The sequence below is a fragment of the Homo sapiens genome, chromosome 4 (genome assembly GCF_000001405.40).
Source record: "Homo sapiens chromosome 4, GRCh38.p14 Primary Assembly".
In the NCBI taxonomy this organism is placed as follows: Eukaryota; Metazoa; Chordata; class Mammalia; order Primates; family Hominidae; genus Homo; species Homo sapiens.
The window spans coordinates 23,614,139-23,640,521 of NC_000004.12; the positions used below are offsets into that span (position 1 = coordinate 23,614,139).

The 26,383-nt window shown below is 37.2% G+C and overlaps 2 annotated features.

Moving 5' to 3' along the window:
- Positions 934-1,494: an enhancer, noted in NCBI's record as "H3K27ac-H3K4me1 hESC enhancer chr4:23616695-23617255 (GRCh37/hg19 assembly coordinates)". NCBI's record gives its function as "activates a minimal SCP1, AML or CMV promoter by ChIP-STARR-seq in naive H9 embryonic stem cells {active_cell/tissue: H9 hESC(naive)}" and the evidence as "EXISTENCE:reporter gene assay evidence [ECO:0000049][PMID:30033119]".
- Positions 17,348-18,547: an enhancer, noted in NCBI's record as "CDK7 strongly-dependent group 2 enhancer chr4:23633109-23634308 (GRCh37/hg19 assembly coordinates)". NCBI's record gives its function as "activates an origin of replication core promoter dependent on BRD2, BRD4, P300/CBP, MED14 and CDK7 cofactors, with strong dependence on CDK7, by STARR-seq in HCT116 cells {active_cell/tissue: HCT116}" and the evidence as "EXISTENCE:reporter gene assay evidence [ECO:0000049][PMID:35650434]".

A 26,383-nucleotide genomic window follows, 5' to 3' on the forward strand; every position in this document is an offset into this window, starting at 1 on the left:
CTGTCAGCTGAGTCAGTCTGAAAGCAATGAAACCCCAGAAGCAAGGAGTTCATCTGGAACTGAGAGTGTGGTTTGTAGTACCACTCTCTGACTAATGAAATTGGGGTTCCTTGGGAAAATATTTGATTCTAAGAACAGGGGCTGCCACCCTTCCTGTGCAGAGATCCTCCTGCAGGGATGTGTTCTGTCCACTCCACATCCAGGCAGGTCTCCAGGAATCTGGAGCTCTCACTCTCCTGAATTAGTTTAGGCCATCTCCCCATCCCTGTGCAGAGAACTTGGGGCCCAGGAGGTTTCCCAGCTCCACACCTAAGCACACCTCTGGGTGCTTAGTGGTTGCCCACTGGATTCTTCCTTGGCACAGGCGCTTGTGTCTGCTGTCAGAGGACCTGTAGTTGGACTTGTCAGGTCTGGCCCCACCCTTTTTGACCACCTCCTCAGGGCTGAACAGGGAGTACAGACCATTGAACTTCATAAATCAGCTCTTGCCTGAGACAACAGAGAGCTTCTCCCAGGAAACAAGGATCAAGTATATACCCAGCCATGTTGGCTACAGCTGGCTCTTACCCATAACTGCCATCTACTGGCTTGTAGGTCAAACTGCACAGCCCTATATTAAACCTGTCAACAGAGGGAGGAGGAGCCAAGATGGCCGAATAGGAACAGCTCCGGTCTACAGCTCCCAGCGTGAGCCACGCAGAAGACAGGTGATTTCTGCATTTCCATCTGAGGTACCCGGGTTCATCTCACTAGGGAGTGCCAGACAGTGGGCGCAGGCCAGTGTGTGTGCGCACCGTGCGCGAGCCGAAGCAGGGCGAGGCATTGCCTCACCTGGGAAGCGCAAGGGGTCAGGGAGTTCCCTTTCTGAGTCAAAGAAAGGGGTGACGGACGCACCTGGAAAATCGGGTCACTCCCACCCGAATATTGCGCTTTTCAGACCGGCTTAAGAAACGGGGCACTACGAGACTATATCCCACACCTGGCTCAGAGGGTCCTACGCCCACGGAATCTCGCTGATTGCTAGCACAGCAGTCTGAGATCAAACTGCAAGGCGGCAACGAGGCTGGGGGAGGGGCGCCCGCCATTGCCCAGGCTTGCTTAGGTAAACAAAGCAGCCGGGAAGCTCGAACTGGGTGGAGCCCACCACAGCTCAAGGAGGCCTGCCTGCCTCTGTAGGCTCCACCTCTGGGGGCAGGGCACAGACAAACAAAAAGACAGCAGTAACCCCTGCAGACTTAAGTGTCCCTGTCTGACAGCTTTGAAGAGAGCAGTGGTTCTCCCAGCACGCAGCTGGAGATCTGAGAACGGGCAGACTGCCTCCTCAAGTGGGTCCCTGACCCCTGACCCCCAAGCAGCCTAACTGGGAGGCACCCCCCAGCAGGGGCACACTGACACCTCACACGGCAGGGTATTCCAACAGACCTGCAGCTGAGGGTCCTGTCTGTTAGAAGGAAAACTAACAACCAGAAAGGACATCTACACCGAAAACCCATCTGTACATCACCATCATCAAAGACCAAAAGTAGATAAAACCACAAAGATGGGGAAAAAACAGAACAGAAAAACTGGAAACTCTAAAACGCAGAGCGCCTCTCCTCCTCCAAAGGAACACAGTTCCTCACCAGCAACAGAACAAAGCTGGATGGAGAATGATTTTGACGAGCTGAGAGAAGAAGGCTTCAGACGATCAAATTACTCTGAGCTACAGGAGGACATTCAAACCAAAGGCAAAGAAGTTGAAAACTTTGAAAAAAATTTAGAAGAATGTATAACTAGAATAACCAATACAGAGAAGTGCTTAAAGGAGCTGATGGAGCTGAAAACCAAGGCTCGAGAACTACGTGAAGAATGCAGAAGCCTCAGGAGCCGATGCGATCAACTGGAAGAAAGGGTATCAGCAATGGAAGATGAAATGAATGAAATGAAGCGAGAAGGGAAGTTTAGAGAAAAAAGAATAAAAAGAAATGAGCAAAGCCTCCAAGAAATATGGGACTATGTGAAAAGACCAAATCTACGTCTGATTGGTGTACCTGAAAGTGATGTGGAGAATGGAACCAAGTTGGAAAACACTCTGCAGGATATTATCCAGGAGAACTTCCCCAATCTAGCAAGGCAGGCCAACGTTCAGATTCAGGAAATACAGAGAACGCCACAAAGATACTCCTCGAGAAGAGCAACTCCAAGACACATAATTGTCAGATTCACCAAAGTTGAAATGAAGGAAAAAATGTTAAGGGCAGCCAGAGAGAAAGGTCGGGTTACCCTCAAAGGAAAGCCCATCAGACTAACAGCGGATCTCTCGGCAGAAACCCTACAAGCCAGAAGAGAGTGGGGGCCAATATTCAACATTCTTAAAGAAAAGAATTTTCAACCCAGAATTTCATATCCAGCCAAACTAAGCTTCATAAGTGAAGGAGAAATAAAATACTTTATAGACAAGCAAATGCTGAGAGATTTTGTCACCACCAGGCCTGCCCTAAAAGAGCTCCTGAAGGAAGCGCTAAACATGGAAAGGAACAACCGGTACCAGCCGCTGCAAAATCATGCCAAAATGTAAAGACCATCGAGACTAGGAAGAAACTGCATCAACTAATGAGCAAAATCACCAGCTAACATCATAATGACAGGATCAAATTCACACATAACAATATTAACTTTAAATATAAATGGACTAAATTCTGCAATTAAAAGACACAGACTGGCAAGTTGGATAAAGAGTCAAGACCCATCAGTGTGCTGTATTCAGGAAACCCATCTCACGTGCAGAGACACACATAGGCTCAAAATAAAAGGATGGAGGAAGATCTACCAAGCCAATGGAAAACAAAAAAAGGCAGGGGTTGCAATCCTAGTCTCTGATAAAACAGACTTTAAACCAACAAAGATCAAAAGAGACAAAGAAGGCCATTACATAATGGTAAAGGGATCAATTCAACAAGAGGAGTTAACTATCCTAAATATTTATGCACCCAATACAGGAGCACCCAGATTCATAAAGCAAGTCCTCAGTGACCTACAAAGAGACTTAGACTCCCACACATTAATAATGGGAGACTTTAACACCCCACTGTCAACATTAGACAGATCAACGAGACAGAAAGTCAACAAGGATACCCAGGAATTGAACTCAGCTCTGCACCAAGCAGACCTAATAGACATCTACAGAACTCTCCACCCCAAATCAACAGAATATACATTTTTTTCAGCACCACACCACACCTATTCCAAAATTGACCACATAGTTGGAAGTAAAGCTCTCCTCAGCAAATGTAAAAGAACAGAAATTATAACAAACTATCTCTCAGACCACAGTGCAATCAAACTAGAACTCAGGATTAAGAATCTCACTCAAAGCCGCTCAACTACATGGAAACTGAACAACCTGCTCCTGAATGACTACTGGGTACATAACGAAATGAAGGCAGAAATAAAGATGTTCTTTGAAACCAACGAGAACAAAGACACCACATACCAGAATCTCTGGGACGCATTCAAAGCAGTGTGTAGAGGGAAATTTATAGCACTAAATGCCTACAAGAGAAAGCAGGAAAGATCCAAAATTGACACCCTAACATCACAATTAAAAGAACTAGAAAAGCAAGAGCAAACACATTCAAAAGCTAGCAGAAGGCAAGAAATAACTAAAATCAGAGCAGAACTGAAGGAAATAGAGACACAAAAAACCCTTCAAAAAATCAATGAATCCAGGAGCTGGTTTTTTGAAAGGATCAACAAAATTGATAGACCACTAGCAAGACTAATAAAGAAAAAAAGAGAGAAGAATCAAATAGACACAATAAAAAATGATAAAGGGGATATCACCACCGATCCCACAGAAATACAAACTACCATCAGAGAATACTACAAACACCTCTATGCAAATAAACTAGAAAATCTAGAAGAAATGGATACATTCCTCGACACATACACTCTCCCAAGACTAAACCAGGAAGAAGTTGAATCTCTGAATAGACCAATAACAGGCTCTGAAATTGTGGCAATAATCAATAGTTTACCAACCAAAAAGAGTCCAGGACCAGATGGATTCACAGCCGAATTCTACCAGAGGTACAAGGAGGAACTGGTACCATTCCTTCTGAAACTATTCCAATCAATAGAAAAAGAGGGAATCCTCCCTAACTCATTTTATGAGGCCAGCATCATTCTGATACCAAAGCCGGGCAGAGACACAAGCAAAAAAGAGAATTTTAGACCAATATCCTTGATGAACATTGATGCAAAAATCCTCAATAAAATACTGGCAAACCGAATCCAGCAGCACATCAAAAAGCTTATCCACCATGATCAAGTGGGCTTCATCCCTGGGATGCAAGGCTGGTTCAATATACGCAAATCAATAAATGTAATCCAGCATATAAACAGAGCCAAAGACAAAAACCACACGATTATCTCAATAGATGCAGAAAAAGCCTTTGACAAAATTCAACAACCCTTCATGCTAAAAACTCTCAATAAATTAGGTATTGATGGGACATATTTCAAAATAATAAGAGCTATCTATGACAAACCCACAGCCAATATCATACTGAATGGGCAAAAACTGGAAGCATTCCCTTTGAAAACTGGCACAAGACAGGGATGCCCTCTCTCACCACTCCTATTCAACATAGTGTTGGAAGTTCTGGCCAGGGCAATCAGGCAGGAGAACGAAATAAAAGGTATTCAATTAGGAAAAGAGGAAGTCAAATTGTCCCTGTTTGCAGACGACATGATTGTGTATCTAGAAAACCCCATGGTCTCAGCGCAAAATCTCCTTAAGCTGATAAGCAACTTCAGCAAAGTCTCAGGATACAAAATCAGTGTACAAAAATCACAAGCATTCTTATACACCAACAACAGACAAACAGAGAGCCAAATCATGGGTGAATTCCCATTCACAATTGCTTCAAAGAGAATAAAATACCTAGGAATCCAACTTATAAGGGATGTGAAGGACCTCTTCAAGGAGAACTACAAACCACTGCTCAAGGAAATAAAAGAGGACACAAACAAATGGAAGAACATTCCATGCTCATGGGTAGGAAGAATCAATATCATGAAAATGGCCATACTGCCCAAGGTAATTTACAGATTCAATGCCATCCCCATCAAGCTACCAATGACTTTCTTCACAGAATTGGAAAAAACGACTTTAAAGTTCATATGGAACCAAAAAAGAGCCCGCATCGCCAAGTCAATCCTAAGCCAAAAGAACAAAGCTGGAGGCATCACACTACCTGACTTCAAACTATACTACAAGGCTACAGTAACCAAAACAGCATGGTACTGGTACCAAAACAGAGTTATAGATCAATGGAACAGAACAGAGCCCTCAGAAATAATGCCGCATATCTACAACTATCTGATCTTTGACAAACCTGAGAAAAACAAGCAATGGGGAAAGCATTCCCTATTTAATAAATGGTGCTGGGAAAACTGGCTAGCCATATGTAGAAAGCTGAAACTGGATCCCTTCCTTACACCTTTTACGAAAATCAATTCAAGATGGATTAAAGATTTAAACATGAGACCTAAAACCATAAAAACCCTAGAAGAAAACCTAGGCATTACCATTCAGGACATAGGCATGGGCAAGGACTTCATGTCCAAAACACCAAAAGCAATGGCAACAAAAGCCAAAATTGACAAATGGGATCTAATTAAACTAAAGAGCTTCTGCACAGCAAAAGAAACTACCATCAGAGTGAACAGGCAACCTACAACATGGGAGAAAATTTTCGCAACCTACTCATCTGACAAAGGGCTAATATCCAGAATCTACAATGAACTCAAACAAATTTACAAGAAAAAAACAAACAACCCCATCAAAAAGTGGGCGAAGGACATGAACAGACACTTCTCAAAAGAAGACATTTATGCAGCCAAAAAACACATGAAGAAATGCTCATCATCACTGGCCATCAGAGAAATGCAAATCAAAACCACTATGAGATATCATCTCACACCAGTTAGAATGGCAATCATTAAAAAGTCAGGAAACAACAGGTGCTGGAGAGGATGTGGAGAAATAGGAACACTTTGACACTGTTGGTGGGACTGTAAACTAGTTCAACCATTGTGGAAGTCAGTGTGGCGATTCCTCAGGGATCTAGAACTAGAAATACCATTTGACCCAGCCATCCCATTACTGGGTATATACCCAAAGGACTATAAATCATGCTGCTATAAAGACACGTGCACACGTATGTTTATTGCGGCACTATTCACAATAGCAAAGACTTGGAACCAACCCAAATGTCCAACAATGATAGACTGGATTAAGAAAATGTGTCACATATACACCATGGAATACTATGCAGCCATAAAAAATGATGAGTTCATGTCCTTTGTAGGGACATGGATGAAATTGGAAACCATCATTCTCAGTAAACTATTGCAAGAACAAAAAACCAAACACCGCATATTCTCACTCATAGGTGGGAATTGAACAATGAGATCACATGGACACAGGAAGGGGAATATCACACTCTGGGGACTGTGGTGGGGTCGGGGGAGGGGGGAGGGATAGCATTGGGAGATATACCTAATGCTAGATGACACGTTAGTGGGTGCAGCGCACCAGCATGGCACATGTATACATATGTAACTAACCTGCACAATGTGCACATGTACCCTAAAACTTAGAGTATAATAATAATAATAATAATAAAATAAAAAAAAATAAAAAAAAAAAAGAAGATACATGAACTCAGTAAAGAGGTTGTTACAAATATATTGGATGGTTTTGAAAGGCCAGGGTTTTCTCCCCGCTTTTGGATAAAGCTGTCCGCTAAGTATTAAAAGGTTTTTTTTTTTTGGTTTTGGTTTTGCTTTTTTTTTTCAAAAAGCAATAACTGGCACCAGCAGTTTGTTACAATTGGCAGAAAGAGTTATCACTTTTATTTAGGATTTGGAAATGAAATCAAAGAGGGGCAGATTGGAGCTTGAATTAAATAAAGCTTAAACAGGCAAAAAGAAAAATCTCGGCTGGTCTTTTAAACAAACAAACACAAAAATTACAGTTCCTTGTTGTTAATTTGAAGCTATAAAGAATTTGACACTCACACTTGATTAAATGGTGCCAAGCAGAAAACAAAAACAAAAACAAAAAAAACAAAAAAAAAACCTGTCAACAGAAGTGCATAGGAGTGTAGAAGCAAAGCCAAAAGACTCTACCCAACATTCTCTAAAGTCACAACCCGCAGAAAGGGGGTGGAAGAAGGGAAAGCAAAAGAAAAAAAAAATTAATGGGAATGAAACACAAAGAAAAAATTCTATTCATATGAAAATAATTACAAAAATTAGAAGTACCAGCTTCTCTAGATGAGAAAGAATCAGAGCAAGAATTCTAGAATTCTGCATCTGAATGTGCTGACAATACCAAAAATCATTCTAGCTCTCTAGCTATGGTCCCTATCCAAAATGGAAATTCAGAAATGACAGATAAAGAATTCAAAGCATGTATTGCAAAAAAACTCAACAAGATACAAGGTTGAAAATCAACACACAAAATACTTCTAAAGCAATCCAGGAAATGAAGGAAGAGATATATGTCATAAAAAAGAAATCAACCAGAGCTTCCGGAATTGAAAAACTCACTTAAGAAAATTCAAAATGCAATTGAGAGCTTTATCAATAGACTAGATCAAACAGAAGGAAGAATTTCAGAGCATAAAGACTGGTATTTCAAACTAATCCTGTCAGACAAAAACAAAGAAAAAAATTTTTAAAGATGAATGGTCTTTGAGAAATATAGAATTATGTAAGGCAGCCAAATCAGTGAATTATTGGCATTCATGAGAATGAAGGAATAAAAACAAACAGCCTGGAAAATATATTTGAGGGAATAATTCAAGAAAATCTTCCTAATATTGCTAGAGATATAGACATCCAGATACAAGAAATCCAGAGAACATCTGTGAGATACTATACAAAAGGAACATCATCAAGTCATATAGTCAACAGAGTGTCCAAGATCAATAATAAAGACAAAATCTAAAAGGCAGCTAGAGGACAATGTCATATCACATACAAAGAGAATTTTATCAGGCTGAGCGGGCTTCTCAGCAGAAGCCCTACAAGCCAGGACAGATTGAAGGCCTACTTTCAGCATCCTTAAAGAATAGAAATTCCAAGCAAGAATGACATATCCTACAAAACTAAGCTTCATAAGCAGAGGAGAAAAAAAAAATTCTAAGACAAGCAAATGGTAAGGGAATTTGTTACCATTAGAGCAGACATCCTTAAGGGAGTTCTAAACATGGAAACAATAAATGATACCTGCCACCACAAAAACATACTTAAGTACATAGCCCACATACTCTACAAAGCAACCACATGATAGAAACTACAAAGCAACCAGCTAACAACTTCACAATATAATCAAAACTTCACTTATCAATATTAGCCTTGAATGCAAATGACCTCTATGCCCCACTTGAAAGGCACAGAGTGGCAAGCTGGATAGAGAAACAAGACCCAACCATCTATTGTATTCCAGAGTTGCATCGCACACATAAAGACACCCACTGGCTCAAAGTAAAGGGTTGGAGAAAGATCTGTCATGCAAAGAGAAAACAAAAAAAGAGCAGAAACACAAAAAAGAGCTATTCTTATGTTACATAAAACAGACTTTAAACCAGGAACAGTAAAAATAGGCAAAGAAGGGCATTACATAATAATAAAGGGTTCAAATACAACAAGAATACTTAACTATCCTAAATATATATATACATATGCACCAACGTTGACCCAGAATTAGAAAACAAGTACAGTTAGACCTACAAAGAGACTTAGACAGTCAGACAATAATAGTAGAAGACTTCAGTGCCGACAGCATTAAGCAGATCACCAAGTCAGAAAACTAACAAAGAAATTCTGAATTGAAATTTGACAGGACCAATTGAATCCAATAGACCTCTCCAGAATACTCAACACATCAACAACCAGATATAAATTCTCCTCATCTGCACATGGAACATACTCCAAGATTGACCACATAGGTGGCCATAAAGCAGGTCTCAAATAAATTTCAAAAAAATCAAAGCCATACCAACCATATCCTTGGAACATATTGGAATAAAAATATAAATCAATACCTAGAATATCTCTCAAAACTACACAATTACATGAAAACTAAACAACTTGCTCATGAATGACTTTTGGGTAAACAACAAAATTAAGGCAGAAATCAAGTAATTCTTTGAAATGAATCAAAACAGAGACAGAATACACCAAAACTTCTGGGATGCAGTAAAAGCAGTGTTAAGGGGAAAATCTATAGCAATACGCACCTAACTTAAAAAGTTAGAAGATCTCAAATTAACAATCTAACATCATACCTAGAGGAACTAAAAAATTAAAAAAGCTAGCAGAAAGAAATGACTAAAATCAGAACTAAACTGAAGAAAATTGAGACTCCAAAATACATAGGAATAATCAACAAAACCAAAAGATGATTCTTTGAAAGGATAAACAAGATTGACAGAACACTAGCTAGATTAACAAAGAAAGGAGAAGATCCAAATAAGCATAATCAGAAATGAAAAGGTGACATTACAGCCAATCCCACAGAAATACAAAAGATACTCAGATATAATGAACAACTCTATGCACATGAAGAAGAAAAGCTAGAGGAAATGGATAAATTTCTGGAAAAACACAGTCTCTCAAGATTGAATCAGAAAGAAATTGAAACCCTGAGGAGACGAATAATGAGTTTCACAATTGAATGAGTAAAAATAAATAAATAAATAAATAAATAAATAATTAATTTACCAAATGAAGAAAGTCCTGGACCAGATGAAATCACAGCTGAATTGTACCAGACATACAAGAAGAGCTGGTACTATAGAATTAGTACTATTTCAAAAACTCGAGGAAAAGGGACTCCTCCCTAACTAATTCTACAGAGTAAGCATCACCCTAATACCAACATCTAGCAAAGACACAATGAAAAAAGAAAACTACCAGCCAATATCCTTGATGAACATAGATGCAAAAAGACCTCAAGAAAGTGCTATCAAACTGAATCCAGCAGCCCATCAAAAAGTTTGTTCACCATGGTCAAGTAGGCTTCATTCTGGTTTGTAAGGTTGATTCAACATACACAAATCAATAAACGTGATTCACCACATAAAAAGAATTAAAAACAAAAACCATATTATCATCTCAATAAAAATGGAAAAAGCTTTCAATAAAATTCAACATTCCTTCATCAAGAAAACCCTCAAGAAACTAGCCTTCAAAGGAACATACGTCAAAATTTTGAGTCATCCATGACAAACCCACAGCCAACATCATACTGAATGGGCAAAATCTGGAAGCATTCCCCTTGATAACTGGAATAATACAAGATCTCCTATTCAACATAGTATAGGAAGTCCTAGCCAGAGCAATCAGGCAAGAGAAAGAAATAAAAGACATTGAAATACGAAAAGAAGAAGTCAAATTATCTCTCTTCACTGAAAATATGATTCTAGACCTAGAAAACTGTAAAGACTCCACCAAAAGACTCTTGAAACTGATAAAGAACTTCAGTAAAATTTCAGAATACAAAATAAACATATGAAAATCGGTAGCATTTCTATACACAAAGATCAATCTGAGAGCCAAATGAAGAACATAATCCCATTTGCAATAGCTGGAAAAAAAATGCATTGGAATACATCTAACCAAGCAAGTAACAGATCTCTACAAGAAGAACTACAAAACACTGCTGAAAGAAATCATACATGATACAAACAATGAAAAAACATTTTATGCTCATGGATCAAAACATCAATATCATTAAAATAGCCATCCTGCCCAAAGCAATCTAGACTTTCAGTGCTATTACTATCAAACTACCAATGTAATTTTCACAGAACTAGAAAAAACTATTTTAAAATTTACATAGACCCAAAAAATAGCCCAAATAGCCAAAGCAATCCTAATCAAAAAGAACAAAACCAAAGACATCACATTACCTGACTTCAAATTATACTATAAAACTACAGTAATCAAAGCAGCATGGTACTGGTACAAAAACAGACACATAGGATAATGGAATAACATAGAGAACCCAAAAATAAAACTGCATGCCTAGAGCCATCAAATCTTTACCAAAGTTGACAAGAATAAGAAATGGGGAAAGGACTTCCTAGTCAATACATTGTGCTTGGATAGCTGGCTAGCCATATGCAGAAGATTGAAATTGGACCCCTACTTTTCATCATATACAAAAGTTAACTCGAAATAGATTAATAATTTAAATGTTAGACTTCAAACTATAAGAATCTCAGGAGAAAACCTAAGAAACACCAGTTTTGACATTGGCCTTGGGAAGGAATTTATGATTAAGTCCTCAAAAGCAATTGCAACAAAAACAAAAATTTAACAGTGGGATCTAATTAAACTCACAAGTTTCTTGCACAGCAATAGAAGTGATAAACAGCATAAATAGACAATATAAAGAATGACAGAAAATATTTGCAAACTGCATCTAACAAAGGTCTAAAATCTAGAATCTGTAAGGAACTTAAACAATTGAACAAGCAAAAAACAAATAACCCAACTTAAATATGGGCTAAAGACATGAACAGGCACTTATCAAAAAAGACATATAAGTGGCCAACAAACATGAAAAATGCTCAACATCGCTAATTATCAGAGAAATGCAAATCAAAACCACAATGAGATACAAACTCACATCTGTTAGAATAGTTATTATTTAAAAAGTCATAAAACAACAGATGCTGAAAAGGTTGCAGAGAACAGGAAAAGCTTATATACTCTTGGTGGCAATGCAAATTAGTTCAGCCAAAGAACTTAAAACACAGCTATCTTTTCATGTGGCAATTTCATTACTGAGTATATTTTCAAAAAAAAAACTGTTCTATCAAATAGACACATGAACTTTTATATTTATTGCAGCACTATTCACAATTGCAAAGACATGGAATCAAATCCAGGTGCCCATCAACAGTGGACTAGATAAGGAAAATGTGATACATATACACTATGAAATATTACACAGCAATAAAAAAGAATAAAATCTGTCTTTCACTGCAACATGGATGCATCTATAGTCCATTATCCTAAGCAAATTAACACAGGGATAGAAAACCAAATATCACATGTTCTCACTTATAAGTGGGAGCTAAATATTGGTTACTTATAAAGATGTCAATGATAGACACTAGGGACTATTAGAATGGGATGAGAGGGAGAAGGGCAAAGGTTGAGAAGTTATCAGGTACTATGCTAAGTACCTGGGTGATAAGATCAATTGTACCTAAGCCTCAGCATCACACAATATGCCCAGGTAACAAACCTGCACATGTATCCCCTGAATCTAAAATAAAAGTTGAAATTAATTAAAAAAATAAAAATATATAAAGTAAAACGGGCTGGAAATATACAAGAAGTTCCCAGAACATACTGTAGTGCTCAAAACTACACAAACTGCCCACACACACTCACACACACACAAACGCACACACACACTCTCTCTCTCTCTCTCTCACACAACACTCAATAATCAATAGCACGAATGTGAAGATGTCCCAAGAGCCAACCGAAGGAACTCTCAGTAGACAAAGATAAAAAAATGTGAGCAACAAATTAAGTAAAATAATATTTACACACTGTTGGTGGCAATGTAAATTAGTTCAGCGAAGGAAAGCAGTTTGGATATTTCTGAAAGAACTTAAAACACTGCTACCCTTCGACCCAGCAATCTCATTACCGGGTATATTTTCAAAAGAAAATACATTGTTTCACCAAAAAGACACATGCATTCATACGTTCTACCAAAAGACACATGTTTAAAGTATAAAATAAATATATCTGAGTTCATGATGACATAAATAAAGGATAAATAAATGCAGGAGAAGAGACAACCCTTCCTTTCAGAAAAGTTCCAAACAGCTTATGTAGTTACTCTACCCTCCAGGAAGTGGAGTATAACTCCCCATCCTTAAGTGTGGGCTGTTCATAGTGACTTAAAGTACAGACAGTATGGAAAGGGACAGGCACAAACACTACCTTAGCCAAGTGATCAAGGTCAACAGCAACAATGATAAGTTATATTGATAGTTCATACTCTTGATATAATGTAAAGAAAGTGACTCTGCTCTTGTATTCTTCACGCAAAACCCACATGCCTAATCTAATCATGGAAAAACATCAGACAAAATTGAAGGACATTCGACAAAATATCTGACCAGTACTCTCTAAACTATCAAGGTCATCGGAAACAAAGAAAATCAGGAAAGTGTCACAACCAAAAGAAGCCTAAAGAGACATGACTACCAAATGTAATGTGATATATATGTATATATATGTATATAAGTGTATATATGTATATATGTGTATATATGTATATATACGTGTATGTATATGTGTATATATATATGTGTTTGATTTCATCTTTCACTTCAAGAGACATACACATCTGACTGCTTTTGTACATCTGGCTTCATCAAACACATCTGCCATCCTTCAGTACATATGTCTATTCTAAATGCATCTGTCTGAATCAAAATCATACTGCATTCTTCCACAAACACAGATTTTCATGAAGCCCAAATTTTAAAATGTTTCAGAAATAAGATATAGAGTCTGTTTTTGGTCTACCTAATTGCCTTTGTTTTCCTTTCAATGTTCTTTCGTGATTTAATTTTTATCCCATGAATAAGCGGCCTGGAAGCTATGGTTCTCCCTTTTTCAAACCTCACTGGGAATAACTCTTATTTCAAAACTGACACCAAGATTTAGCTCTGAAGTTCCTAGAGTCTGACCCTTTGCTGGATTTCATGATTGAAAACAAAAAGAAAGTAAGCATGCAGTATTATTGTTTCTGGCTTTCTTTGTGCAGAATAGTCCTCCCTAGCTAAGGAAACATCAAAGGAAAACATACAAGATAATCTTTAATTACCCGTGAATGCAACCTGCTTTAAAGATAATGAAAAGGGGAAAATTGAGGCCTGATTTGTTCCAGTTGACAATCATTAAGGGGCCTTTTGCAATGCTGATCCTAACTGCAATCATATCTGGCATCATTCATTTTCTTATACATTTCACCCCAGTGGACAGTTTAGAGAATGGAAGGCAGAGCAAGCAAGTGGTGCATAGGTAGGTGTGTTACCATGGATTCTTGCTGTGTGTCTGCATGCATTTGTCTTTATCTGATTTTTCTCCCTTTCAATTACCTCTACACGTAAACTCCCCCACCATTGCCCCATCCCCATTGGGTTGATTTATTTTAAAGTAATATCAAGACATTAGATGGAAACATGGCTCAAATAACTGAAGAAACTTGAAAGCTGCTGCGGCTTTAAAATGAAAGAGAGAATTTTAAAAACAGTAATGAACTGTTTCCAACAAGCCTTCAGAATCAGTCTCAAGGAGCTAGATATACTCCAGGCTAAACCCGTAGTAGTTCCAGCGAAGTGGTCCACCGGGGCAGCTAGTAGTAATTGATTCACATGATACACTGCCTCTTTACCTTTGTCTCTCCCAATTCTCTAAGTTTCAAGGTTTTATAAGGGCTAAGCATGTATCAAATACTAGTGCACTTGTACCTGCTCAGTCAATCCAATCAAAATTTAGTCAAGTTGAGCACTTTCTATATGCCAAGCACACGACATTGCACTGCGAGTACAAAAGGAAATAGACACAGGCTCTGCCCTCCATGTGTTTATTGCCTAAGAGGAGAAAGTAGTCATGTAAAAGATACATGCATAAAACGTTGTAGTAACACAAGGAGAGCTGTTGGATATACCTGATAATTCAGAAAAGGAGAGGAGAGGACACACAGATGAGATGAGATTTAGGGAAATAAGCATGGGAAGACTTTTACAGTTGGAATAAAATGAATCAAGTAGGAAACAGAATGGTAAACGTGGTTAATTCCAAGATGTTGAACAGTGTAAGCACATCAACTGTGAGTTGACGAAGGCAGAAATTAAAGCTATAGACATAGGTTGGAGGTGGTCCTGGGAGACTAAGAAATTTAGAATAATTCTCTATATGATTGTCATTTAAAGGATTTAAAGCTTAAGGTGGTTGCCCAGTTTTCTGACTTGAGTGTACAAGAAAAGAGGGATACCATTGTGCAAGGGAGTCTGGGGAGAGAGTAGGCTGAGGAGTGAAGATGAGATGGTGAGTTCAGTGAGTTGGGGAAGGCTGGAGACTGCCAATTGGATTTTCTCAGAAGGTTGTCAGCTGCATGCGTTTTAATCTGTGAATTAAAGGTGAAGATAGAGATTTAGGACTCATCAGCATATAGATGGTTATAACATTATGAAGGTAGAGTATATTTATCAATAAAAGCATATATGAAAAAACAAGGTAGATAATATGGTTTGGCTCTGAGTCCCCATGGAAATTTCATATCAAATTGTAATCCCCATTGTTGAGGGAGGGCCCCTGGTGGGAGGTGATTGGATCATGGTGGCAGTTCCCCCCATGCTGTTCTTGTGATGTTGGGGGAGTTCTCACGACAGTTGATGGTTTTAAAGTGTAGCATTTCCTGGCTCTTGCTCTCTCTCTTTCCTGCCACCAGATATGAGGTGCTTGTTTCCCCTTTGCCTTCTGCCATGATAAGAAGTTTCCTGATGCCTCCCCAGCCACGCAAACCTATGAGGCAATTAAACCTCTTTTCTTTTAAATGACTCAGTCTCAGGTATTTCTTTATAGCAGTGTGAAAATTCACTAATACAGTGGACAAGTGAAACCTTAGAAAACATTATCCTTTGAGGGATCAGATTAGGACGGTACTTCCTTTTGAGGAATGCCCACTAGAATCATTTGTGCTGCCTTTTCAAAATGCATATGCTCAGGTCCTTCTTCTAGCCTGTCACATCCAAAATAATATATCTTAGGTAGGACCTGGCCATAATGCATTTTGAAAAAGTTTCCCATAGATTCTTTTTCATACTTCTAGTTAAATACTGAAGTGGAGAGTTTCAAAAGTTATAGGTAGAAATATCACTGATGTCTTAATACTTACCCTAACCTTGATTTAATGGAAAGTTCTAGGACAGATGATGACTGATAAAATCAATAACTCACAGTGTGAGGTACTTAAATGTTGCCCAATGAAAAAAGTCAAGTAAGGTTCAGAGTATAAGCAACCCAAGTGCATTGCCTTTTGATTCCCATTTGTTTTAAAGAAACATCAATCAATAGATTAGTCAGGAATTCCACTCATGGAAGGGAGTTTCAAAAGTGGTGAAAGATAATGCCTGGAATGTCCTGTCTTTAGGTATGTTTGACCTAACCATCTGGGGACACTGGGCCATGCTGCATTCACACAAATGATTGAGATTACAGCTGTGACTGCTATTATCAATTCCAAAGGAGTGCCAAGAAGGCAAGTCTGATTTAGAGGCATGGCGAAGACAGATTACTGGTGGGTGTGACCACAGGAGTAAGAGAAACCAGGAGGAATTCATGTAGAAAGACTAAATGAGCCTTTAAAATGATGTTTTTGAAAGCCTTAATGGAGTGAAACAAAGCCTATAGTACAATTTTAAGTGAAAAAAAATGCAGTATTCAAAATTGTATATACAGTAAATAAGTTGAAAAATACAAAATTTAGCATATCTCTACATTACCACCTCCCCCCGTCCACCACCACCACACACACAACACATACCCAAGATTAGGGAACAAAGTGTTGTCATTTTAGTGGTTTTAATGATACTTGAATGATAGGACTACAGATCATTGGTTTTTTCCTTCTTCATCATTTTCTATTTTTCAAAAATTTTAGAATGTATGTGAATTAACTATACAGCTGACAAAAATAAGAATAAAAACACATGTTTCCTTGGTTTATGATAGCCATCTTCTTCACCTAGCTGATGCCTACATGCTCATGTAGCTCTTATTAAATCCAGGAATACAACCCTATCCTAGAAATATACATTAAAGGCCCTACTCTTATTCCTATGGGACCTGTGTTTACCTACACCCCCTGTCATATGCACTATAATGAATTACCTGTTTCTCTACTAAATAGAAGTTCTGAGGACAGGGACCATGTGTGATCTCACCATTGTTGTGGACCTCATTCAGTGCTTATAATACCTGGTACATAGTAAGACCAGAGAAAGGCCAAAATAATTAATGCAAAATATTACCTACAAAAGAAGGCATGAGGGAAGTGACACTTTAGTGGTGAGTAGAAATTGAGGGAGGATCTGATTAAGTTAAAACATCCAGAAAGAATGTCTCTAAAGCAGAACACAATAGAACCAGGGCAGGGAAGAGAATTGCTTGAAACAGTCCTCGTTGACTGAAGGCAAGGGGAGGTGGAGAAAGGCAGGTTGGAGTCATATGAGAACCATGGAAATTTAGTAATAAGGTTGTCACCTGATATAAAGGGGTAAGGAGACACTGTTCAGGGTTTAAATAAGAGAATTGTCATCGTAGGAAGAAATAAGAGAGTTTTTAATCCCTGAAAATAGACACAATTATAAGTAGCAATACAAGGATATTACCTGTGCTCTACAAAGGAAGCAGAGGTTTCTTTGTTTCTCTAGAGTCCTTAAAGTGCTGTGTCATTCTCCTGCTGTAACCTCTTCTGCAGAAAGCTTGGCAGCAGCTACTGCTTCCTCACCCCAGGTAAACTGGAACAGGAGGGAGGACAGAGAGAGGAAGATGGGCTTACAGTCAATACAGGACTAAGCAAACACAAACTCTTGCCTGTCACACAGTCCGGAGCCTCCTGCCCACCACTGCTTTTGAAGGAACGGTGGCTTTGTATTCTTTTGGATAAATTTATTTGCAATACAAAGAAATAGTTTTGCAATACAAAATAAATATATTTGTTATCCTGTTTAATCCACTGACTAAGGAAGTAGAGCCAAAGCGGACAAATTGTCTTTTCAGGACAGAACTCAAAGCGAATTATGTCAACTTCCTGGTTTAAAAGCTGCTTTGGTTTCTGGAATCTAAGAAAACACTTACCTCATTGAATTAAAGCTGCTTTAAGGTTCTGAGTGTCTATCATTGGAAATAATATAATGTCAAAGACTACAGAAAACAGGCCAATGACGGGTCTTCTGATTGGCTTTGCTGTCATGAGAGTTATTAAAAACCCAATGCACCACTTCAGGAAGATTTTAAATACAAAGGAATTAGAAAATTAACAGGTTGTCTTCAGAACATTGAGAGTAGCTTAAACTGGTCAAAGAATATGTCCTTTGCAACAAAAGATCTTGAAGAACAGCAGCATAACAACTGAAAAAAAGAGAAGGAAACAAAAAAAATCCTCTGGGTCTAAGATTCTGAGAAAATTCAGGAGCATAAGATAATCAACGATCCCACAACATACTGAAGTCTTCTGTTTCAAATTGAAAAATGACATTTTATACCCCTGAGGCTACTCATTTGTGGTCATCATGAGAATTAATGCTTAATATATACTAGAGCTAAAAATATGTTTATGACATTAAAACACTTGTAAAACTTTGAATTGATAAATCATAGCCATTCGTGTTTTTCTAGGTCCCTGAGGTGAGATCCATGTTACAGAATTTAGTCCTTACTTTTAATTTTATGTGGATACTAAAAATACTTCTTGATAAGTTTCACTGGACTGAAAGAAAGTATTTTCCAATAGTTACAATGTAGGATGGCTGTCAGTGTACCATCAGAGTTTCAGATTTTGAGAACAAAGGAAACTGATTCTAGATAAATTAAATGGGAGGATTTTTCCTGGGAAGACATGGTAACATAAGAAGGAACTCACAGAACCTATGAAAACCTGGAGAACCAGGCTTGTAAATGATCAGTCAACAAAAAAGTCACAAAGTATTAAGCTGAAATATGCCAATGCTTCATAGCAGGAAATATCTGGCCAGTTGGAAATAAAATGATCTCCAATTGACACTACATTCTAGTACTACTCTACTAGCTCAAGATTTTAAAACCTCGGTCTTCCAATCCATGAACACAGGATGAATGTCTTTTCATTTCTTTGTGCCTTGTTTTAATTTCTTTCAGGAATGCATCACAGTTTTCAATATACAAGTCTTTCACGAAACTCTTTAGTTTTTTCCTACATATATTATTCTTTTAGGTGGTATTGTATGTAAATGGGATTATTTTCATATTTTTCTTTTCAGATAGTTTATTGTTAGTATATAGAAACACAGCTCATTTTTGTATATTGACTTTTTATCCTCAGCTTTATTACATAGCAGCTCTCGCTTATCTGCAGGCGGTACATTCAAGACCACCAGTGGTTGCTTGAAGCTATAGAATACCAAATCCTATATATACTATGTTTTGTGCTGTCCACATATAAATATAATAAAGTTTAATTTATAAATTAGGAACAGTAAGAAATTAATAATTAGGGCCAGGTGCAGTGGCTCATGCCTGTAATCCCAGCACTTTGGGAGGCTAAGGTGGGCAGATCACTTGAGGGCAGCAGTTTGAGACCAGCCTGGCCAACATGGTGAAACCCCGTCTCTACTAAAAGTACAAAAATTAGCCAGGCGTGGTGGTACATGCCTGTAATCCCAGGTACTTGGGAAGCTGAGGCAGGAGGGTCACTTGAATCCAGGAGGGAGAGGTTGCAATGAGCCAAGTTTGTGCCACTGCACTGTAGCCTGGGCAATGGAACAAGACTCCATCTCAAAAAAAAAAAAAAAAAAAAAAAAAGAGATTAATAACTAATAATAAAATAGAACAATTATAACAATATACTGCAATCTTCGTTATAGGAATGTGGTCTCTCCTCCCTTCTCTCTCAAAATATCTTATTGTATGCAGTATTTTCGGACCATGGTTGACTGCATGTAACTGAAACCAAAGAAAGTACAACCAGGGACAAGGCAAGGACTATTGTATTTATTTATTAGTTCTAACAGTTTTTTAAATGGAATCTTTAGGGTTTTCTATATATAAGATCACACCATCTGAAAATAGGAACAATTTTACTTCTTCTTTTGCAATGTGGATGGATAACTTTTTTTCTTGCCTAATTGTTCTAGCTATGACTTTTAGTGCTATGTTGAATAGGAGTAGGAAGAGTGAGCATTCTTGCCTTGTTTCTGATTTTAGAGGAAAAGCTTTCACTTTTCTATTGTTGGGTATAATGTTAGCTGTGGGCTTGTCATATATAGTCTTTATTGTGTTGAGAAACATTTATTTTATGCCCAATTTTTTGAGAGTTTTTATCATGAAAGGATAAATTTTGTCAAATGCTTTTGATGCATTCATTGAGATGATCATGTTGGTTTTTTTCCCTTATCTTTCTAATGTATATACATCACATTAATTAATTTTCATATGTTGAATTGTTCTTGTATCTCAGGAATCAATCCCACTTGGTCATGGTGTATGATTCTTTTAATATGCTATTGGATTCAGCTTGCTAGTGTCATATTGAGGAGTTTCATGTCTATTTTCACTAACAATATTAACCTATAATTTTCTTTTTTGTAGCTTATTTGACTACATTGTTATCAAGAGAATGTCGATCTTATAAAGTGAGTTATGAAATATTCCTTTCTCTTTAATTTTTTGGAAAAATTTGAGAAGGAGTGGTACAAATTCTTTGAATGTTCAGGAAAATTCACCAATGAAGCCATCGGGCCTTGGGCTTTTCTTTGTTGGGAGATATTTGATTACTGGTTCAAACTCCATACTAGTTACACATCTGCTTAGATTTTCTATTTCTTCATGTCCATATTACTCAAATCAAGCTACATATTCAATGCAATCCATATCAAAATCTCACTGGTGTTTTTAACAGAAATTTAAAAAATTCTAAAATTCATCTGGAGTGACAAAAATGTCACAAACCCAAATTAATCTTGAGAAAGAAAAATAAAGCTAGAGATATTATACTTTCTTATTTCAAAATATATTGCAAAGCTAAAGCAGACAAAACAGTATGGTGCTAGCATAGAGCAGGCATATAGACCAAGAAAACAAAGTAGAGTCACAAAATGAATCCACCCATATACAGTCAACTGATCTTTGACAAGGGTGCCAACAATACACAATGGGAAAGAATCTTCTTTCTCTTCAACAAATAGTGCTGAAAAAACCAGATATCCACATGCAAAAGAATGAAACCGGAACCTTATCTTGCACTGTATGCAAAAATCAACTTAAAATGGATTAGAGACTTAAATGTAACACACAAAACTATAAAATCCCTAGAAAAAAACATAGGTTTTCCTTCATGTTGTTGGTTTTGGCAAGGCTTTTATGGTTAATACACTGAGCACAGACAAAAATAAGCAAAGAAAATAAAAACACAAACAAGTGGGACTACATCAAACTAAAAATCTCCTGCACAGCAGCAAAGAAAACCATCAACAGAGTGAAAGAGAAGCCAACAGAATAGTAAACCATATTTATAAATCCTATAACTGATAAGAGGTTAATATCCAAAACATATAAGAAACTCTTGCAACTCAGTAGTGAATATAATATATATAGAAACCTGATTAAAAATGGTTACCCACTTGAATAGACATTTTTCCAAAGAAGATATACAAATAGCTGACATCGATTAAAAAATACTCTATGTCATCAATTATTTGAGAAGTACAAATCAATACTACAATAAGATATCATCTCACACCTGTCAGGATGGCTATTATCTAAGAACAGCAAAAGACAACAGAATGTTGGTGGGGATGCAGAGAAACTAGGAACTTGTACACTGTTGGTGGGGAAGTAAAATGGTGCAGCCACTGTGGAAAACAATAGGGAGGTTCTCTGAAAAATTAGACATAGAACTACTATATGACCGAACAATCCCACTCCTGAATGTCTTTCCAAAATAACTGAAATCAGAATCTCAGAGTATTAGCACTCATGTTTGTCGCACCATTATTTGCAACAGCCAAGGTATGTAAACAACCTAAATGCCCATAATAGGTAAACTGATAAAGAAAATGTGGTATACATAACAATGGAATACTATTTTGTTTTAAAAAAGAAATGAAATTCTGTAATATATGACAACATGGACGAACCTTGAGGACATTATGCTAAGTGAAATAAGCCAGTCCCAGAAAGACACATACTGTGTGATTCCACTTATGTATCTAAAATAGTCAAAGTTATGGAATCAAAGAGTGGTTGCAAGGGGCTGACGACAGGGAGAAATGGGAAGTTAGTATTAAACGGGTATAAAGTTGCAGTCAAGTAATATGAATAAGCCTTAAAAATCTGCTTTACAGATTTTTAGGTCAATAGTAATATATTGGATACAAAAAATGTTTAAGAGCGATCTCATGTTAAGTGTTCTTAACACAATACAACTTTAAAAAATAATGTATTACAAAAAACACAAAAATAAAAGTGAATTTTAAAAATGGAAAACAAAAAGATTCGAAGCTTCAGGATATGGGTAAAAGTGAAGAGGAGAAGAAATGAAAAGCCAGCCCCATCTCTCACACCAAGACTATACACAATAGAGGATTTCCCCAAGGGATCTCAGAGCACTATTAGGAAGAAAGAATTGAATGCTGATCAGCCAAAAATAAATGGTAATGGTCATTTTGATCCAATAGTCACAATTAACAAATGCAGAAAGGAACTTTAGAGGTCATCTAATAAAATTCGCACATTTGACAGTTACATAGCCAGGTTTTAGGCAGGTATGAGAATTGTACATCTCAATATTTTAATTTGAATATTATAACTTGAAAAATGCATTTGCTAATTTAACAGTCAAGTGGAATCATTGTATTGATGTAAGTTATGCTTCTTCATTTTGTATTTACTTGAATGTTGGTGAGCATTGTAGGATTATTGAGCGATATCACAGAAAGAATGTCAGACAGCGACCTGATTCTCATATCTAGTGTGACCATTTATTAACTGTGTGACTCTGACCAAGTCATTTAACCTCATTTTATGCATTTTCTCTCATTTACAAAATAAAGACATAACAACCACCACAGTGTGCTGTAAAGACTAAATTAAATCATCACACATAAAATTGCTTTGTAAACTTTAAAGCTATTTACAAATCAGAGGGTTTTCTTAGACATCACTGTATTTTAGAAGTTTGGGTGAGGGGTGTCTAGAAAAAAGCTCATCTATTTACCTACTTTCACACAAGTCCAGCACCTTAACATAAAGTATGGGAGTCTCTGCCCTCTGATTAAGCCTAATCTAACATTGTTGTCGCTAGGGTATCTGATTCAAGTTTGACCCTCTCTCCTCACCTGAGAATGTGGAGGCAAATTAACATTTTATCATAATTTAGCATAATTATATCTACATCTCAGGGTTTTACCAATATTAAAATTGGAGTGCAGCATTGCAAAGAATGAAGAAAATCATCAAGGAGATTCTCAAGGAGATTCTCTCGCCAAGAATTTCTCCCTCCATTTTTCTCAGAGCCCAGGCTGATTTACACAATGGTTAGAGTACCACACAATGAAAACATCATAAATGGCAGGTATCAAACCAAGTAACCTCCACTAGTTACCACTGAGAGAACCTTCTCTCCCAGTACTATGTGACAATTGAGTCAAGAGGCCCATTATCATCAACAGGCCAGGACCTTTACTGTAGCATCAGGAAAATGTCAACAATATGCTTTTTTCCAATAAAGCTGATAATTCTTCCACTTTAAGATAAAGCTTGTCTTGATTGGAGTTTGATCTAAAAGAGATGGAGAGCCTTGGAAGAATTCTAGTGTATTTTTTATTTTGTGCTGTTTTAGTAAGTGTATGTATAGTGCCCAAAGGTTAATTTTGCAAAGGAATTATTTACAATGCCTCCCACCTGAAGGTAAGAGACAATGGCAAAATATAGCTAAGATTTTCCACGATATTGTCTTTTAAGAAAAAAGTGTTTGATAACATTCCTTGTAGAAATAGTGGTGGATCCACCTACAATATAACTTGGGATCGCTGATTCTAATAGACCAAAGCAGGAAACTCATGTGTTCCAAAACAACATAGTCCAGGTAATAAAAGAAGAATTCCTATACAAAACAAGTGTTTTTTGAATTCTTTATCCTTTCTTTTTAATTTTTTATTTCCATAGTTTCTGGGGGAGCAGGCAGTATTTGGTTACATGAGTAAGTTCTTTAGTGGTGATTTGTGAGATTTTGGTGCATCCGTCACCTGAGCACTATAAACTGAACCCACTTTGTAGTCTTTTATCCCTCACCTTACTCCCACTCTTTCCCCTGACTTCCCAAAGTTTATTGTGTTATTCTTATGCCTACGCATCCTCATAGCTTAGCTCCCACTTATGAGTGAGAAAATACCACGTTTGGTTTTCCATTCCTGAGTTACTCACTTAGAATAATAGTCTCCAGTTCCATCCAGGTTGCTGTGAATGTCATTAATTAGTTCCTTTTTACGGCTGAGAAGTATTCCATCATATATATATATATATATATATATATATATATATATATATATATATATACACACACACACACACACACACACACACCATATATATACCACATATATATACATCATATAAATATATAAATATAAATATATATACATCATATAAATATGTGTGTATATATGTACCACAATATCTTTATCCACTCGTTGCTTGATGGGCATTTGGGCCGGTTCCAAATTTTTGCAATTGGTAATTGTGCTGCTATAAATGTGTGTGCAAGTATCTCTTTTGTATAATGACTTCTTTTCCTCTGGGTGGATACCCAGTAGTGAGATTGCTGGATCAAATGCTAGTTCTACTTTTATTTCTTTAAGGAATCTCCACACTGTTTTCCACAGGGGTTGTGCTAGTTTACATTCCAACCAGCAGTGTAGAAGTCTCCCCTTTTCACTGCATCCACCACAACATCTATTATTTTCAGATTTTTTGACTATTGCCATTCTTGCAGGAGTGAGTAAGGTGGTGTCACATTGTGGTTTTGATTTGCATTTCCCTGATCATAGTGATGTTGAGCATTTTTTCATACGTTTATTGGCCATTTGTATATCTTCTTCTGAGAATTGTCTGTTCATGTCCTTAGCCCACTCTTTGATGGGATTATTCTTCCTAATTTGTTTGAGTTTCTTGTAGATTCTGGATATTAGTCCTTCTATGTTAGCTTTTCTTCATACTATTCTGAGGAGCTATGAGTAGTAATATCAGGTGGTTAATAACACAGGTTCTGGGGTCAGACTGCCTTGATTCAAATCAAAGCAACTTTATACAAAAGCAGTATGAACTCGGGAAAGATGCTAAATACACTGACCCTTAGTTTTCCTCTCCATAAAACAAGGGGAGTAATAGATTCCATATCTTAGCCTTGTCATGAGTATTAAATTAGATAATCTGTGCAAACCAATTACTGCAGTTCCTGGCACATATTAAATGCTCAATTAGTACTACTGACATTATTATAAGAATTGGTCTTCAATAATCTGGGTAGAAATAAGAAAGGTTTCCTTAGTTAACTAAATTTTTGAAATCATAATAATAGTTGCACCTTTTTTGGAAAGTCACAATATATATTTACTTATTAAAAGCTCTGAAAAGTCCTGCATATGTTTAACACAACATTTTCTAAATTAATTAGCCATGCAATCATATTGGGCTTTTTCTGCATTATGCCCATCTCTCCTCTCCAAATATTCCAAACGAGTATTTAATTTATTCATGGAGTAATAATTCAAATTATCCTTTTAGAAGCAAGAACCTTAGACTGTATTGTAAATGGGAAATCCCATTTCCTTGGGAGTGTGAAGGTGGTCTGGCTATGACATCTATTCTATTGTCTTGTCCATGTTTGGGAGCTCTGGGCATTCTCTTCACATATGGTCTGATGAAATAGCTTTCTTAGATAAAGGAGATATTTTCTCTAGACAAGGTTTAAAATGAGTTTTATTTTCCTCTAGAATTTCCACCCTCTCCAGAGAACCCCAGAAGCCTTAGGAAAGAGAGTTTTCATCAATGGGATTTTTCATATACTATGCCAGTTTTTGTTTGGATTACCAAAATGAGTCTCTTATGCATTCTTTTACTTTGAAAATGCTAGGATTAACCAATACCATTTTTTTTTATTAAGTAATTGAAGAGGAGTGAATACTATTTCATTTTTGTCCCTTAGAGTTCAACAGTGAACTGGGCTGAGCCAATTTGCAGAGAAATGCCAAGGGCTTTGGATGATATTGGTGATTCCAGCATGTCCTCAAGGCTCTTCCCAGGGAAATCAGGGTACAGACCTGACCTGTGGTTTTATATTTCCTATTCCAGCTCCTCAGTCCAGAGGTCTCCAGATATATATATATATATGCATATATATATATATATATAGCCACTTGCAGATATTAGATATTTTCTACCCTCCCTTAGGTTAATTTATAAATATGCAATGTGGTATGGGGGTGGGTGTTGTCTTCTGAATATTTTTGTTCTACATGTATACTACTGA